Source organism: Homo sapiens, chromosome 10, assembly GCF_000001405.40.
Source record: "Homo sapiens chromosome 10, GRCh38.p14 Primary Assembly".
Classification (NCBI taxonomy): domain Eukaryota; kingdom Metazoa; phylum Chordata; class Mammalia; order Primates; family Hominidae; genus Homo; species Homo sapiens.
The window spans coordinates 58,322,119-58,335,834 of NC_000010.11; the positions used below are offsets into that span (position 1 = coordinate 58,322,119).

Sequence of the window (13,716 nt, forward strand, 5' to 3'; positions counted from 1 at the left end):
GCATAGTATTTGTGTAGAAATATGTTTTATTTCTCATTGATAGGTTCCTAAGTGTGAAATTGTTGAGTCATATGGTTACATTTTGGTTTAGCTTTTGTATATATGTGTTTTGTTTGTTTTTGAGATAAGGTACTTGATATGTTGCTCAGGCTGGTCTCAAATTCCTGGCCTCAAGCAATCCTTCTGCCTCAGCCTCCCAATTAGCTGGGATTACAGGTGCATGACACCACACCCAGCTTATGTTTAACTTTTAAAGAAGTTGCCAAAGTGTTTTTCCAAAGTTGTTGTACTTACATTTTGTATTCCCACCAGCAGTGGATAAGGGTTCCAGTTTTTCCACATCCTCTCCAACATTTGTCTGTCTTTTTAATGACATTTTTTTTTTAATTGTAGCAAAACAGCACATAACAAAATGTACCACCTTGACCATTTCTAAGTGTACAGCTCAGTCGTGGTAAGTATAGTCACATTGTTATGCAACCAGTATCCAGAACTTTTTCATCTTGCAAAACTGAAACTCTATACCGATTAAACAACTCCCCATGCCCTGCCGTGACCCTTAGACCCTGGAAACCACCATTGTACTTCCTGTTTCTGTGAATTTGACTACTCCAGAAACCTCATATAAGTGGAATAATACAGACTAAGTCATTCTGTGGCCAGTTTATTTCATTTAGCATAATGTCCTCAAAATTCATCCATGGTGCATCCTATGTCAGAATTTCCTTCCTGTTTAAGGCTAAAGACACAGATTTTTAAAGGATAAGGAATGCTGTATTTATCATCCTTGGGGTTTAGTAAAGTCTCTCACTCCTGGCTGCAGGGGAATGGGAAAGTAATGGGAAAGGAAGGAGAAGGATTTGGGAGAAAGTTTCCAAAAAGTAGAAAGGCATACAGGAAGGAATTAGGAACACATATTGTATCCCTAGGGTGAGCCCAACCACCGAACTTCCTGTGTCAGTAAAGTGTAAATATCTTTCTGCCTTTTCACAAGATTATATTATACAGTATATATAAAGGTCTTCCTAAGCCAGCTGGCTTTGGAGTCCCCATCACTCTTAATTGATTATAAAGTTGGCTTTGCATTTAGTGCCTGTAATTAGATTCTGTGAGGCATTGCAGAAAAGTACAACCAACCATGATTCAGAGCACTTGGAAATAGGTTTGTTAAAGAGCTGTGTCATGTAGACTTGTTTAACAATGTTTATAGCATTAACATGTTTATTACTGTTTAATCTCAGGAGTAAAATTACAAACATCAATCTCAGTAAATGACAATATATTGTTCTAGATTACTTAAAAAGTTAAGAGAGTGAGGTGCTCATTTATTGCTTTAAAGTATAGTCTTGCAGGGAGCGGTGGCTCATGCCTGTAATCCCAGCACTTTGGGAGGCCGAGGCAGGCAGATCACGAGGTCAGGAGATCAAGACCATCCTGGCTAACACAGTGAAACCTCGTCTCTACTAAAAATACAAAAAATTAGCCAGGTATTGTGGCATGCGCCTGTAGTTCCAGCTACTTGGGAGGCTGAGGCAAGAGAATCACTTGAACCCGGTAGGCAAGGTGGCAGTCAGCCGAGACCGCACCACTCACTCCAGCCTGGGCTACAGAGCGATACTCCATCTCAAAAAAAAAAAAAAAAAAGAATAATGTTTACTTTTAGATGGCATATCAGCTGCAAAATGTGCAATTGTTATAATATAGAACTAAATTGATTAGAGCAATACAGTCAAAAGACTCCATCCAGAATATTTATATCATAGCCTAAAATGACAATTCATATCAAAGAAGAAAGGAACTAAATTTCTAAACATGCTTGTGAAGGGTCACAAGATAGGAGAAAGCTGGTTTTTTTTTTTTTTTTTTTTTTTTTTTAACTGTTGTTTGTTTGTTTGTTTTGTTTTGTTTTGTTTGAGATGAAGTCTCGCTCTGTCATCCAGGCTGGAGTGCAATGGCATGCACTCACTCTTGGCTCACTGTAACCTCTGTCTCCCAGGTTCAAGAAATTCTCCCACCCCAGCCTCTGGAGTAGCTGGATCTACAGGCACACACCACCATGCCCAGCTCATATTTTGTATTTTTAATAAAGACAGGGTTTCACCATATTGGCCATATTGAACTCCTGGCCTCAAGTGATCTGCCCACCTCAGCCTCCCAAAGTGCTGGGATTACAGGCGTGTGCCACCTTGTCTGGCTGGAGAAAACTGTTAAATGGAATTGTAAAAAAGAAAAAAATATATATCTGAGAAGAAGGAACCCTGAAAAAGAGTAAAACACATCTATTATGGGAATAAAATTCTCTCTACATGTAACTTTCTGCTCTAGGATTACCACTGCCTTAATCTTTTTTATATCAAAACTTTGAAATGAGTTTATTAGGGATATTCTTCCATGAAACATTTTTCATTTTAGATAATAAATCATGGGATAAAAATGCTATTTTTTCATCATTTTTAAAAATTTTATATAAATTAAATAATAGACCTTCCTTTCTTCCTTCCTTCCTCCCTCCCTCCCTCTCTTTCTTTCTTTCTTTCTTTCTTTTTTCTTTCTTTTACTTTCTTTTTTTTTTTTTTTTGACAGAGTCTTGCTCTGTCACCCAGGTTAGAGTGCAGTGGCATGATTTAGGCTCACTGCAACCTCTACCTCCTGGGTTCAAGCATTTCTCATGCCTCAGCCTCCCGAGTAGCTGGGATTACAGGCATGCACCACCACACTTGGCTAATATATATACATATATGTGTGTGTGTGTAGAGATAGGGTTTCACCATGTTGCCCAGGCTGGTCTTGATCTCCTGGCTTCAAGGGATCTGCCCTCCTCGGCCCCCCAAAGTGCTGGGATTACAGGCCAGACTTTCCATATAATTTATCAAAACATGTTTTTTTTCTTTGTGTTAACAAAGGCCATGAGCGAAATCAGTGATTTCCAAACTTTTTTTTCAAGTGTTGGAAGCCATTCTTTTAATAAATTCTAATGTGGAATTCAAGAACAATAATAGCTCCCATTTTTCTGAACAAGCTCCATGTTCCCCATATTGTGCTAAGTGCATTACACATTACCTTCTGTTTCCGTTGATCATACATGGTAGGTCTATTAAACTAATTTTTATATGAGGAAGCTCACCCAAGTCCATTCAGATACTTTAGAAAAACAGACACATACTGAACTGCTCCAGTTACAGCTGGGGATGAGAGGGAACGGGCCACATCCACATTTCTGCCCTCACCACAACCTTGTCCCAGCTCCCACAACCCGGTCCTAACTTCCGGGGTCTTTGTTGAAATCCCCCTCTGCCTCAGAGTGGCCCATCAAGAGCCTGTCCACTGGGTGCTTTGCTGAAGAATGGGGGGATGCAGCTGCCCTGTTTAAGAAGGGGTCTAACTTCCCAGGGCCCCTCAGAACGTTATGAAAATAAATTATGACTAAATAGAACCACAGAGGGATTTTTTTTTCTCGTACTTCATTAATCAAAGAAAGAAAAAATGTTTAAACACTCTTCTGCTTGCTCTTTGGTGCTCACAATTGGTTTTATTGTTAATGAAGAAAAATGGGCTACAAAATGGACAGGATCAGTCTTGAAAGAAATGCAGGTCTTAGAAGGATACACATAACAGAAACTGCCTTGAAGGAAGCACAGGTCACTCCTGAGAAGTTCATGGTTGGCTCCACCACTGTTGAGGCTGTCTGCTCTTTGCCCTTCCCAAGTGGTGGTTCTAATCTAATTTCAAACAGAGACTCATTCAACACTGGGTTTGAACCCTGTGGAGATTTGTGGGGGACAAGGAAGTTCATATATCAACCACAGGTACCACCCTGGGAATGGTCCCCCTGAAATCTTACGGCCTGTAGCAGGACAGAATTGGGGATGTGGGGGTCACATAATGCCAAAACCTGTGAGACAACAATCCAGACAGCTGTTCAAAATAAGACACATGAAGAATGCTTGTCCTACATGTGTGCCAAACACCGGTTCTGAGCCATTCATTCCCAGCTCTCCTGATTGGGCTCTACCTCCTGATGATTCTGGTGTTACAGTTGGTGGGACTACCCAATCACAAAAGGAATAGGCCCTGTTGTATATGAAGACCTCAGTGGCCTATAAGCTCAGAACTGCCCCCAGGACAAAAGAGAGTTCTCACCAGCCCAAATAAAGCACCCAAAGGTCAAAAAAGGTGGGGACATTGGATGGGGTGGCCCTCCCCAGAAACCACTCCTGGACAGCAAAGCCTCAACAACACAAGGAGAAAACAAAAAAGAGCGCTTCCTGTATTTGCAAAGACAAACACTTCTTCATTGAGTGAAGGAGAGGCAAAATTGGCAATTGGCCGGCAGTCCCCAGCAGTACCTGAGAAATGAGGTCACTTTTGTTCCAGAGAGGGCAGCCTTGTCTTGGCATCTCCTGCAGCGGAGCCAGGCTGCACTGGCCTCACTCCGCCAGGGCCAAGCTCATGGACCATAGCCCCGGGACTTCTGGTAGATGTCCTGCTCCACTATGTCACCTCCACCAGGAATGCCTGAATCTTTTCACCAAACCCTTCTTTTCACTCTACTCTCTTTGAAATTTCTGACTGAATCCGTGTGTCAACTCCTTCCTTCAACGTCTTCATAAATTGCCCGATTGCCGACTGTTGCTTTGACTCTGCCTCCAGATCTGCCTTGGTCAGCAGCACACCCAGGGAGCTCTTCATCCGCCTCTTCCACTTGGCCAGTGATCCTCTCCAAAGACTTCTCCAAATCTGCCCCTCTTTCTCTGGACCATCTTTCTCTGGACCATCTCCCCCCACCCCCGCCTCCACACCCCATCGTGACCCGGGAACCACTCTGTATTCCGTGCGCTGACAACTCCTGCTGCCTGCTCCGTATCCTGCAGAGACTTCTTAAATCTGAGCTTCTGACGGCTGCAAGATCCCTGTGGCCTCTTCCGTAAGCTGGGCCGGGTGTGGGAGAACTGGGTTGCTGCAGCCCTGCTGCGGGGTGACAGGAGGCCCAGGCTTCGCATTGCTGTGGGTGACGGTCATATGGATCCCGGCTCCTGCGGCGTCCTCGCTCCTTCCCTGGCCTCCCGGAGCGGGGCAGGTGACGAGTCAGCCCTGGCGAACCGAGGCTGGGAGGGGTCGAACAGGCCTGGGCGGGGGCTCCCGGGACGCGGTCCTGGCCTGGCCGTTGGATAAGCTGCTTGGGCCTGCGCTCCCTGTGCCTCCAGCCAATCGGGGTTTCTAAAAAGTGACTCACGCTGTCCTGAGGCACAGCCAGGGTGGAGAATTTCTACTTTACAGATGCTGGGGCTGGGAGATTTTGAGATCTTCTTTCCTTTCTTATTTGGTCGGATGGAATGACGGAAACAGCATCCCTGAGATGGAAGCTACATACAGACAGATAGGGCTGTCCTCAAAAAGAATCCCCAAGAAAGAAAGTGACGGTGATGAGGCCTGAGGGTTCAAATCCCAATGAGGACAGAATTGACTTTAACAAAAGTTTTATTGAGATATAATTACATACCTTAAAGCTTAGTAAGTGTACAATTCAATGGTTTTAAGTGTGTTTAAGGAATTCTGCAATCGTCACCATAATCTAATTTTTGAACAATTTTATCATCCCCCAAAGAAACCCCGTACCCATGAGCAGTCATTCATTCTCCCCCAAACCTCCCTGCTCCCAGCCCTTAGCAAATACAAATTTACTTTTCATCTCTATAGGTTTGCCTGTTCTGGACGTTTTATATAAGTGAGGTTATACAATATGTAATCTTTTTTGACTGGCTGCTTTCACTTAGCATAATGGTTTGGGCTTTGTTTTTTTGGGTTTTTGGAGTTGGGGTGACTATGTTGCCCAGCAATCCTCCCGCCTCAGCCTCTGGAGTAACTGGGACTATGAGCATGTGCCATTCCTCCCAGCAGCATTGTGGTTTTTAGGTTCATCCATGTTGTAGCACAGCAGTCTCCAACCTTTTCGGCACCAGGGACCAGTTTCATGGAAGACAAATTTTCCACGGATGATGGGGTGGTGGTTTCGGGATGATTCAAGTGCATTACATTTATTTTGCACTTTATTTGTATTATTATTACATTGTAATATATAATGAAATAATTATACAACTCACCACAATGTAGAATCAGTGGGAGCCTTGAGCTCATTTGCCTGCTACTAGGTGGTCCCATCTGGGGGTGATGGGAGACAGTGACAGATCATCAGGCATTAGATTCTCATAAAGAGCATGCAACCAAGATCCTTCAGATGTACAGTTCACAATAGGGTTCATGCTCTTATGAGAATCTACTGCTGTGACTGATCTGACAGGAGGCGGAGCTCAGGTGGTAATGAGAGCCATGGGGAGTGGCTGTGAATACAGATGAACATTCACTCACTTGCCCACCACTCATCTTCTGCTGTGTGTCCCAGTTCCTAACAGGCCACAGACTGGTTGGGGATCCCTGTTATAGCATATTTCAGTACTTTATGCCTTTTTGTTGCTGAATAATATTCAATAGTTTAGATATACCATGTTTTGTTTTTCCATTCACCAATTGATGGACATTTGGGTTGTTTACACTTTTTGGTTATTACAAATAATGTTGCTGGGAATATTCATGTGCAAGCTTTTGCATCGATATATGTTCTCATTTCTCTTGGGTGGCTACCTAGAAGTAGAACTGCTGGGTCATATGGAAACTTCATTTTTAACATACTGAGGAACTGCCAAACTGTTTTCCAAAGTTACTACACCATTTTTCATTCTCACCAACAATGTATGAGGGATCCAATGCCTCCACATCCTTTCCAACACTTGATATTGTCTATCTTTTTGAGTACAGCCATCCAGTGAGCGTGAAGTTTTATCTCGTTGATTTGCATTTCTTCATTGACTAATGATGAGCATGTTTTCATGTGCTTATCATCCATCTGTATATCTTTGAAGAAATATTCATTTGAATCTATTGCCTATTTTTAAATTGGGTTATTTATCTTTATTTTATTGAGTTATAAGAGTTGTTTACATATTCTAGATACAAGTCCCTTATCAGATGTGTGATTCACAAATATTTTCTACAAGTTTGTGGGTTGTCTTTTTCCTTCCTCCCCTTCTTTCTTCCCTTCCCTTCCCTTCCCTTCCTTTGCATTCCTTCCTTTCTTTCTTGGTCTCACTCTGTCACCCAGGCTGGAAGTACAGTGGCACAATCATGGCTCACTGCATCCTTGATCTCCCAAGCTCAAGCAATCCTCCCGCTGCAGCCTCTTGAGTGGCTAGCTGAGACTACAGGCACATACTACTGCCATGCCTGGCTATTTTTTAATTTTTAGTAGAGACAAGGTCTTGCTATGTTGCCCAGGCTGGTCTTGAACTCCTCAGCTCAAGCAATCCTCCTGCCTAGGCCTCCCAAAGTGTTGGGATTGTAGGTATAAGCCACCACACTCGGTCCTTTTCACTTTCTTGATGAGAACCAATCTTTAATAGTTTTGTAGTATGTTTTTTCCAAATAATTCTTATAAATTTGTCATGCCACTGTAGTTCATTATGTATGTTGATGTTCTCAGTTTCCATATTGTTACTTATATTAAATGCCTTCTAAAGAGTCTCAAAGTAAAGGTGTCTGTGAATTTAGAGAAAGGATGTGAGAAGAAGAAATAGGAAACCTGTTATAGGTTTCCAAGAGGGTCCAGGATAAAAATGGGGGAAATTGGGGGCTTGGTGTTGGGGGAGAAGCAGACAATGGAGATGCAGAGCCAATACTAGGGTGGGGAAAGGGATATTCATAATCTTAGGTAGGGTTAACACTAGTCACAATCTCCACCTCTCTTGTGCAATTGGCCTGTATTTTTTGGCCAGTACTACATGCTCAATATAACACCTTTTATTCCATCAACTCTGATGAAATGAGAGAAGATTTAGGGGTTTCCCAAATATCTATGGTTTCTCAGATATGCGCTTGCAACTGTAATATGCTGTCTCTAATAAAATCATTAAGATTGAGACAGAAAATCTAGAAAATTAAACGAAATATTCCTACAGGTAGCAACCATGATTAAAAGGGTAAAAGATAGGACCTAGATGGAGAGTTTAAAGCACTGGAAGACAAGGAGGAAAGGAGAAAAATAACATTATTGGGTACTTATTCTGAACTCAGTGCTTTATATAGTCTGTTGTTTTCATCTTCTACCCCACTTTATAGAATTGGTATTATTGCCATCATATAATTTAAGAAAAAAACTAAGAACTGGAGTGGTTAAGAAACTTGCCCAAAGACATACAGCTAATTAGCAATAGAAACAGGATACAAATCTATGTTTTTATTCCAAGGTTATACTCTTTCCACTGCATTAAATTAGCTATTATAAAACAGGATTATTTTCATTAAGTTGTCTAATTTTGTTGTATGTTGCCTTAACTGCTAACTCTGTGTGGTAAGCAGTCAATTTGTAGGCACTCTTATTTATTCTGCTTCATCTCTGTCACAAGACTCACTTCTACACTTCCTTCCTCCTGCGTAGGCTACAATTTCCTTCTCTAAAGAGAATCCTTTCTGTACCCTGGATCAATGATTCTCAAAATGTAATATGCATATGAGTCACCTGGGGATCTTTTAAAAATGCAAATTCTGATTTGGTAGTTCTGAGGTAGAGTCTGAGATTCTACAATTCTAACAATTTCACAAATGATGCCACTCAGTGGACCATACTTTGAGTATCAAGGGCTTCTGCCTTTCCCTTAACACTTGCATTAACTTTTCCTTTCCCTCTGTGGTGGCGAGCCTCCAAGATGGCCCCTCATCTTGGATTCCCATATCCTGGTGCCCACATCTTTGTGTAGTTTCCTTCCACATTGGGTAAAGTTGACAGTGTGTGACTTCCAAGACATTGTGACTTCCATCTTGCTCTTTCCTTGAAGAAGGAATAAGGGGGAAGCCAATTGTCATGTTGTTAGGACACACAAACAGTCCTATGAAAAAGTCCAGATGGCCAGAAAAAAAGGCCATTCTGCTGTCCATGTAAGCGAAGTGTTTTAGAAGTGGATCCTCTATCTATAGTAAAGACTTCATATGACTGCAACCCTGGCCGACATTTTGACTGCAACTTTATGAAAGACCTCAAGGAAGAACCACCCGGCTAAGATGCTCACAAATTCCGGACCCACAGAAACTATGTGAGATGATAAATGTTGATTGTTGATTTAAGCTGCTATGGGTTAGGGTAATTTGCTTTGAAGCAATACATAATAGACCCACTAACTCTTTCACATCTACCTTCAAGCATGCAGAGATCACATTTGGAAAAATCACAGGCCCTCTTTTAGTTCCTATCTCATGCCCCTTCCTCCCCAGCATTTTCCAAAGTGTGATAAGCACTGCTTGACTCCATTTAATTTACCCATTTATCTTTCACTATGTCTTATTTACCCATCACCCTTCTTAAACACTATCCTTGAAGGTAGCACCTCACTAATTCTGATATCCATTTCCTGTTCCTTATTCCCTTAGATCCCTGTTGCAAAATACATCTTTTTGAAGCTATTTTCCTACCTAAAGCTCTCACTTTTCTTTGCTGCCACTACACAAAACACTCTTGGTATTCCACTTACTTTCCCACCCATGACCCATCTTTTTCCTCATAGGTCTTCACTGTTGCTGCTCCCCAAAGCCCATTTTCTAGTGCCTTCTCTTTTCTCTGTCTTCCCCTTTCCTCTTTGGGAAGCAATTTGTATCTTACGGTTTCAAAATCATTCTCTCACATGATTGCTCTCATATCCATATTCTCAGCCCCATATCTCTACCTACCACTAGGGAAGTTCCACTTGAATACCACATACATTTCATATATGTGTATGTCTTAAGCTCGGTTTACCATTCTCCCCTCCAAAAGCTTATCAATGTTAACACCTTTAACTCAATCCACCACTCATAAATTTAGAGTTCATATTTACTCTTCTATTTTTCTACTTCTGTATGTAATTGCAACAAAGTTCCATGGCTTTTTTTTTTTTTTTTCTCAAAAAGTTCTTCTTTGGGTTTCTAGTGCTATCAACCTTGTACAGGCAGGCCCTTATTATTTTGGTCCTAAATACTGCAATAGTAATTGAACTTGTTTCCCTTTCCTGATTCTGTCCTCATTCCATGTCCCTCCACTAGACTAATTGTCTATTTAATGCATCACTGTCACAATAATACTCTCCTGATACACAACCTCTTGTTGCATTTAAGCTCAATTTCATGTTTCTAAGACTAACAGTCAATGTCCTTCACTATCTGATCTCAACCATTGGACTTAGTTGTATTTCCTTGCTTGGCCTCCATGTTGAGCATTTCATACTTATGTCCATTCCACATGCATTTCCTTACGATTGGAAGTTCTTCACCTATTCTTTTGCTTTTCCAAATGCGTCTTGCATTCAAGTTCTATTGTCTCTACAAAGTTTCCCTTACTCTCCGTCCATGGCAATGCCCTTTTGAACATCTTTAGCCCTTATCCTCTGCACCATTTGTTTTGCTTTAAGGAAATTTTCCTGAAATTTGTTGTTGCTGTTGTCTGCATGACTGACTGACTGACTGAATGAATGAATATCTTGCATTGCTACTTATTTGTTTTATGCATTTATCTTCCTACCATGAAGATTTTAAGTTTATGGAAGGTAAGACCAAATATAATCTTTCTTTTGCATATATTTTACCACCTAGTGCAGTATAATATCCCAAACAGAGATAATTCAGAGGGCAAGGATTATTTATTGACAGTGTGGCCTGATGCCTAGAAATCTGCATTTTTAACAAGTCTTGTACCCTCCTCCCCACCCCATAGGATTTTGATGTTCTGCTTGTGAGTAGGGATCTTGTCTATTTTCTTTATCATGTGTCTTCAGTGCCTGGCATATAGTAAGCATTAAGTAACATTTTTGAATTAGTTATGCAGTTGATCACAAACTATGTTTTGAAACTACATCCTGGGAGAAAGAGTAGGAGATTAAATAACACACTGAACTACTATATGTTGCACATGTATTTGCATGTTGCAAAAATGTGTGTGAAATGTTTTGAAAAGCTTAAAGCAATTTTTTTTTTTTGAGATGGAGTCTCACTCTGTCACCCAGGCGGGAGTGCAATGGCTCCATCTCGGCTCAGTAAAACTGCTGCCTCCCAGGTTCTAGCGATTTTCCTGCCTCAGCCTCCCAAGTAGCTAGGATTACAGACATGTGCCAACACGCCTGGCTAATTTTTGAATTTTTGGTAGAGAAGGAGTTTCACCATGTTGACCAGGCTGGTCTCGAACTTCTGACCTCAGGTGATCCACCTGCCTTGGCCTCCAAAAGTGCTGGAATTACACGCGTGAGCCACTGTGCCCAGCCCATTTAAAGCAATCTTAAAGTGTAAACTATTATTGCAAGATACCAACGTAGATTTTTTTAATAAGTGTTAATTTCTCTTTTGTTGGGAGGTAAACTGCCCTAGGAAAGACAAAAATAATCTTGTAAGCTTACTTTTTAGGTTTCTTTCTATTTATAAAGAAGAGAAAAAAATCACCATTTTTTGTGCAAATCATAGACCTTTGAGTTAGAAGGGCACCAAAAGTTTCAGCTCTATTCCCTTTAAACAAATACAACATTTATTGCATTAGTTATGGGTGAGGAAATTGAGGCTTAGAAGGATTTGAAGATTTGCTCAAGGTGGAGATTCTCAAAAGTGTCCTCAGATACCTGCATCCTAACTTCCTGGGAAGTTTGTTCTAAAGTTTAGACTCCAGAGCTTCACCCAAAACTTACTGCTAAATTAAATCCTTTAAAGGAAATCTGCATTTTTAGGATCTCCTCTTATGCCTTCCAGCATAGTGCTTCTCAAACCCTAATGTTCATCTGAATCACCTAGGAGTCTTATTAAACTGCAAAGTGTGATGTAGCATGTCTGGAGTGGGGCTCAAGATTCTGTTTTTGTTTGTTTGTTTTTGTTTTTCAACTTTTATTTTAGATTTAGAGGCCACATATGCAAGTTTGCTACCTGGGTATGCTGTGTGATGCTGACATTTGTGGTATGAATGATTTTATCACCCAGGTACTGACAATAGTACCCAACAGTTTTTCAACCTTTGCTCCCTCGGTCCCCTCTCTAGTAGTCCACAGTGTCTATTTGTTGCCATCTTTATATCCCTGAGTGATATGGTTTGGCTGTGTCCCCACCCAAATCTCATCTTGGCCAAGAAGCCAAGTTTTAATGGGTACACAAGTGCATAGGAATTGGAGAGTGGGGAGCGTGAGTTGACTATTGGTCAGGGACTGTCAACGGAAGGGAAGGAACCAATGATGGGAGTGAGAGCCCAGAACTCGGTGTTCGAAGTGGGTAATTTATGGGAGGGGCATACCTACGAGCAGACAATGCACTCAGACAAGGAAGATTTGCACATTGGACAGAAGAGACACCTTTTTCCTCTGCAATAAGAACCAAGGAGGTAAGTAGGGGGTCTGATATGAGTTTGTGCATGTGTGCAGGGTGAGTGAGACAATCCATATATTTGAGAAAAGACAGTGAAATCTTTAAAGGTAAAAATAATAAAACCAGCTGTGGCACCTATTGGATAAGGAATTACTAACTGATGATTTAGAAATTCCTTTATGTGCGTTAGGAGCTCATTTGTTATCCCCATTTTACAGATGCGCAGCCCCAGGTTCAGCAATTTGCTCTAAATGAGACTGTAGAGGCTAATTCCAGCCCCCGGCAGCTCTCACCTTAAGCTGCCTGGCTGAGGTCAGCAGTAAGTTACCTGGCAGCGTCCGGGGGCCTGCAGCCGAGGACAGGGCTGGAACTACACTTCCCAGTGTGCCAGGCGGGGCGGGGCGCGGCGGGGAGGGCGCAGGCTCCTTCCCAGAAGCAAAAGCGGAAACAAAAGAGTCTCGCCGGCGTCCCCGCCCGCACACTCGCGCACACTCGCGCTCGGGCGCACACGGAGCAGGGACCGGCGCCCGGAGCGAGCCAGGGAGCGGCTAACCGGGGACCCACCGCGCGGAGCCAGCCTAGCTGCCAGCGAGCCCAACCCGCGACGACCCACGCCCCTGAGCCCCGCAGCCGACCCCTGCCGGCCGGTGTCCCCACCGCCATCCCTGACCCATGGCGCTGAAGAGGATTCAGAAAGTGAGTGCCGGGGCCGGGCCTGGGGCTGCGGGGCAGCGGCCCCCTGCCCACGCTGACTCGGCCAGTGGTCCCGAGAGACATGCGGGGAGAGCAAGGGATGGAAGGGTGGGCCGGGGTGCGGGCAGGGAGCTGAAGGCTCGGGCCGGGCCAGCGGGCATCGGACAGGTGAGGTGGGAGCAGGGTCAGGTCCCAGGCGGCCGGAGGAGCTTGAAGGCTGGGGGCCCGCGCGCGTTCGCGCCGGAGCCGCTCCCGGAGCCCCAGGGTAGAGAGCCTCTTGCGCGTCCAGACCGTCCCGAAATCTGTGCTTCACGGTCACGGCCGGGTTTTGCCCTCCATGGGGCTAGTTTTGACCCCTGTCATGCTGTGTTTTCTCCAGGCTGTTTCTTAAGCCTGTCCTCTTTTATGTTCTTGCTTACCCGGCCTCCCCGGGAGGGCAAGGAAGGTGGGGTGGGCCTGCAGCCTTTCTCCGCGGAGCTGTCGGGTTGGTTCTTTCTCTCCTCTGCGGTTGGCTCTTGCTCAGTTGCCCGAATGGGCTGGAAAGCCCATTTGCGGCCAAGAAGTCAGGAGAAGGCTCCTGCCCCTTCTATTTTGGTGCCTCTGCTGCTGCCA

General features: G+C 43.4%; 1 protein-coding gene and 1 long non-coding RNA gene across 3 annotated transcripts in view, besides 4 other annotated features; one reads left to right on the top strand and one right to left on the bottom strand.

Annotated features, from left to right (window-relative positions):
* Nucleotides 1-3,509: 3,509 nt before the first annotated feature.
* Nucleotides 3,510-7,561, bottom strand: LOC112268068 (uncharacterized). Its single transcript, NR_158219.1, has one exon. It is a non-coding gene; the product is annotated as an uncharacterized LOC112268068 (long non-coding RNA).
* Nucleotides 12,552-13,052: an enhancer, noted in NCBI's record as "H3K27ac hESC enhancer chr10:60094430-60094930 (GRCh37/hg19 assembly coordinates)". NCBI's record gives its function as "activates a minimal SCP1, AML or CMV promoter by ChIP-STARR-seq in naive H9 embryonic stem cells {active_cell/tissue: H9 hESC(naive)}" and the evidence as "EXISTENCE:reporter gene assay evidence [ECO:0000049][PMID:30033119]".
* Nucleotides 12,552-13,272: a biological region, named in NCBI's record as "H3K27ac hESC enhancer GRCh37_chr10:60094430-60094930".
* Nucleotides 12,651-12,945: an enhancer, noted in NCBI's record as "tiled region #7957; HepG2 Activating DNase unmatched - State 1:Tss, and K562 Activating DNase unmatched - State 1:Tss". NCBI's record gives its function as "activates a minimal TATA promoter and a strong SV40 promoter by Sharpr-MPRA in HepG2 and K562 cells {active_cell/tissue: HepG2 | K562}" and the evidence as "EXISTENCE:reporter gene assay evidence [ECO:0000049][PMID:27701403]".
* Nucleotides 12,753-13,272: a silencer, noted in NCBI's record as "silent region_2378". NCBI's record gives its function as "represses an Ori minimal core promoter by ATAC-STARR-seq in GM12878 lymphoblastoid cells {active_cell/tissue: GM12878}" and the evidence as "EXISTENCE:reporter gene assay evidence [ECO:0000049][PMID:35858748]".
* UBE2D1 (ubiquitin conjugating enzyme E2 D1) overlaps nt 12,888-13,716 on the top strand; it is a 35,743-nt gene continuing 34,914 nt past the window's right edge. For both annotated transcript variants that reach the window (NM_003338.5, NM_001204880.2), the window contains exon 1: nt 12,888-13,107. In NM_003338.5, coding sequence (NP_003329.1) covers nt 13,084-13,107 — 24 coding nt within the window. In that variant the 5' untranslated portion in view covers nt 12,888-13,083. The remainder of the gene's footprint in view (nt 13,108-13,716) is intronic.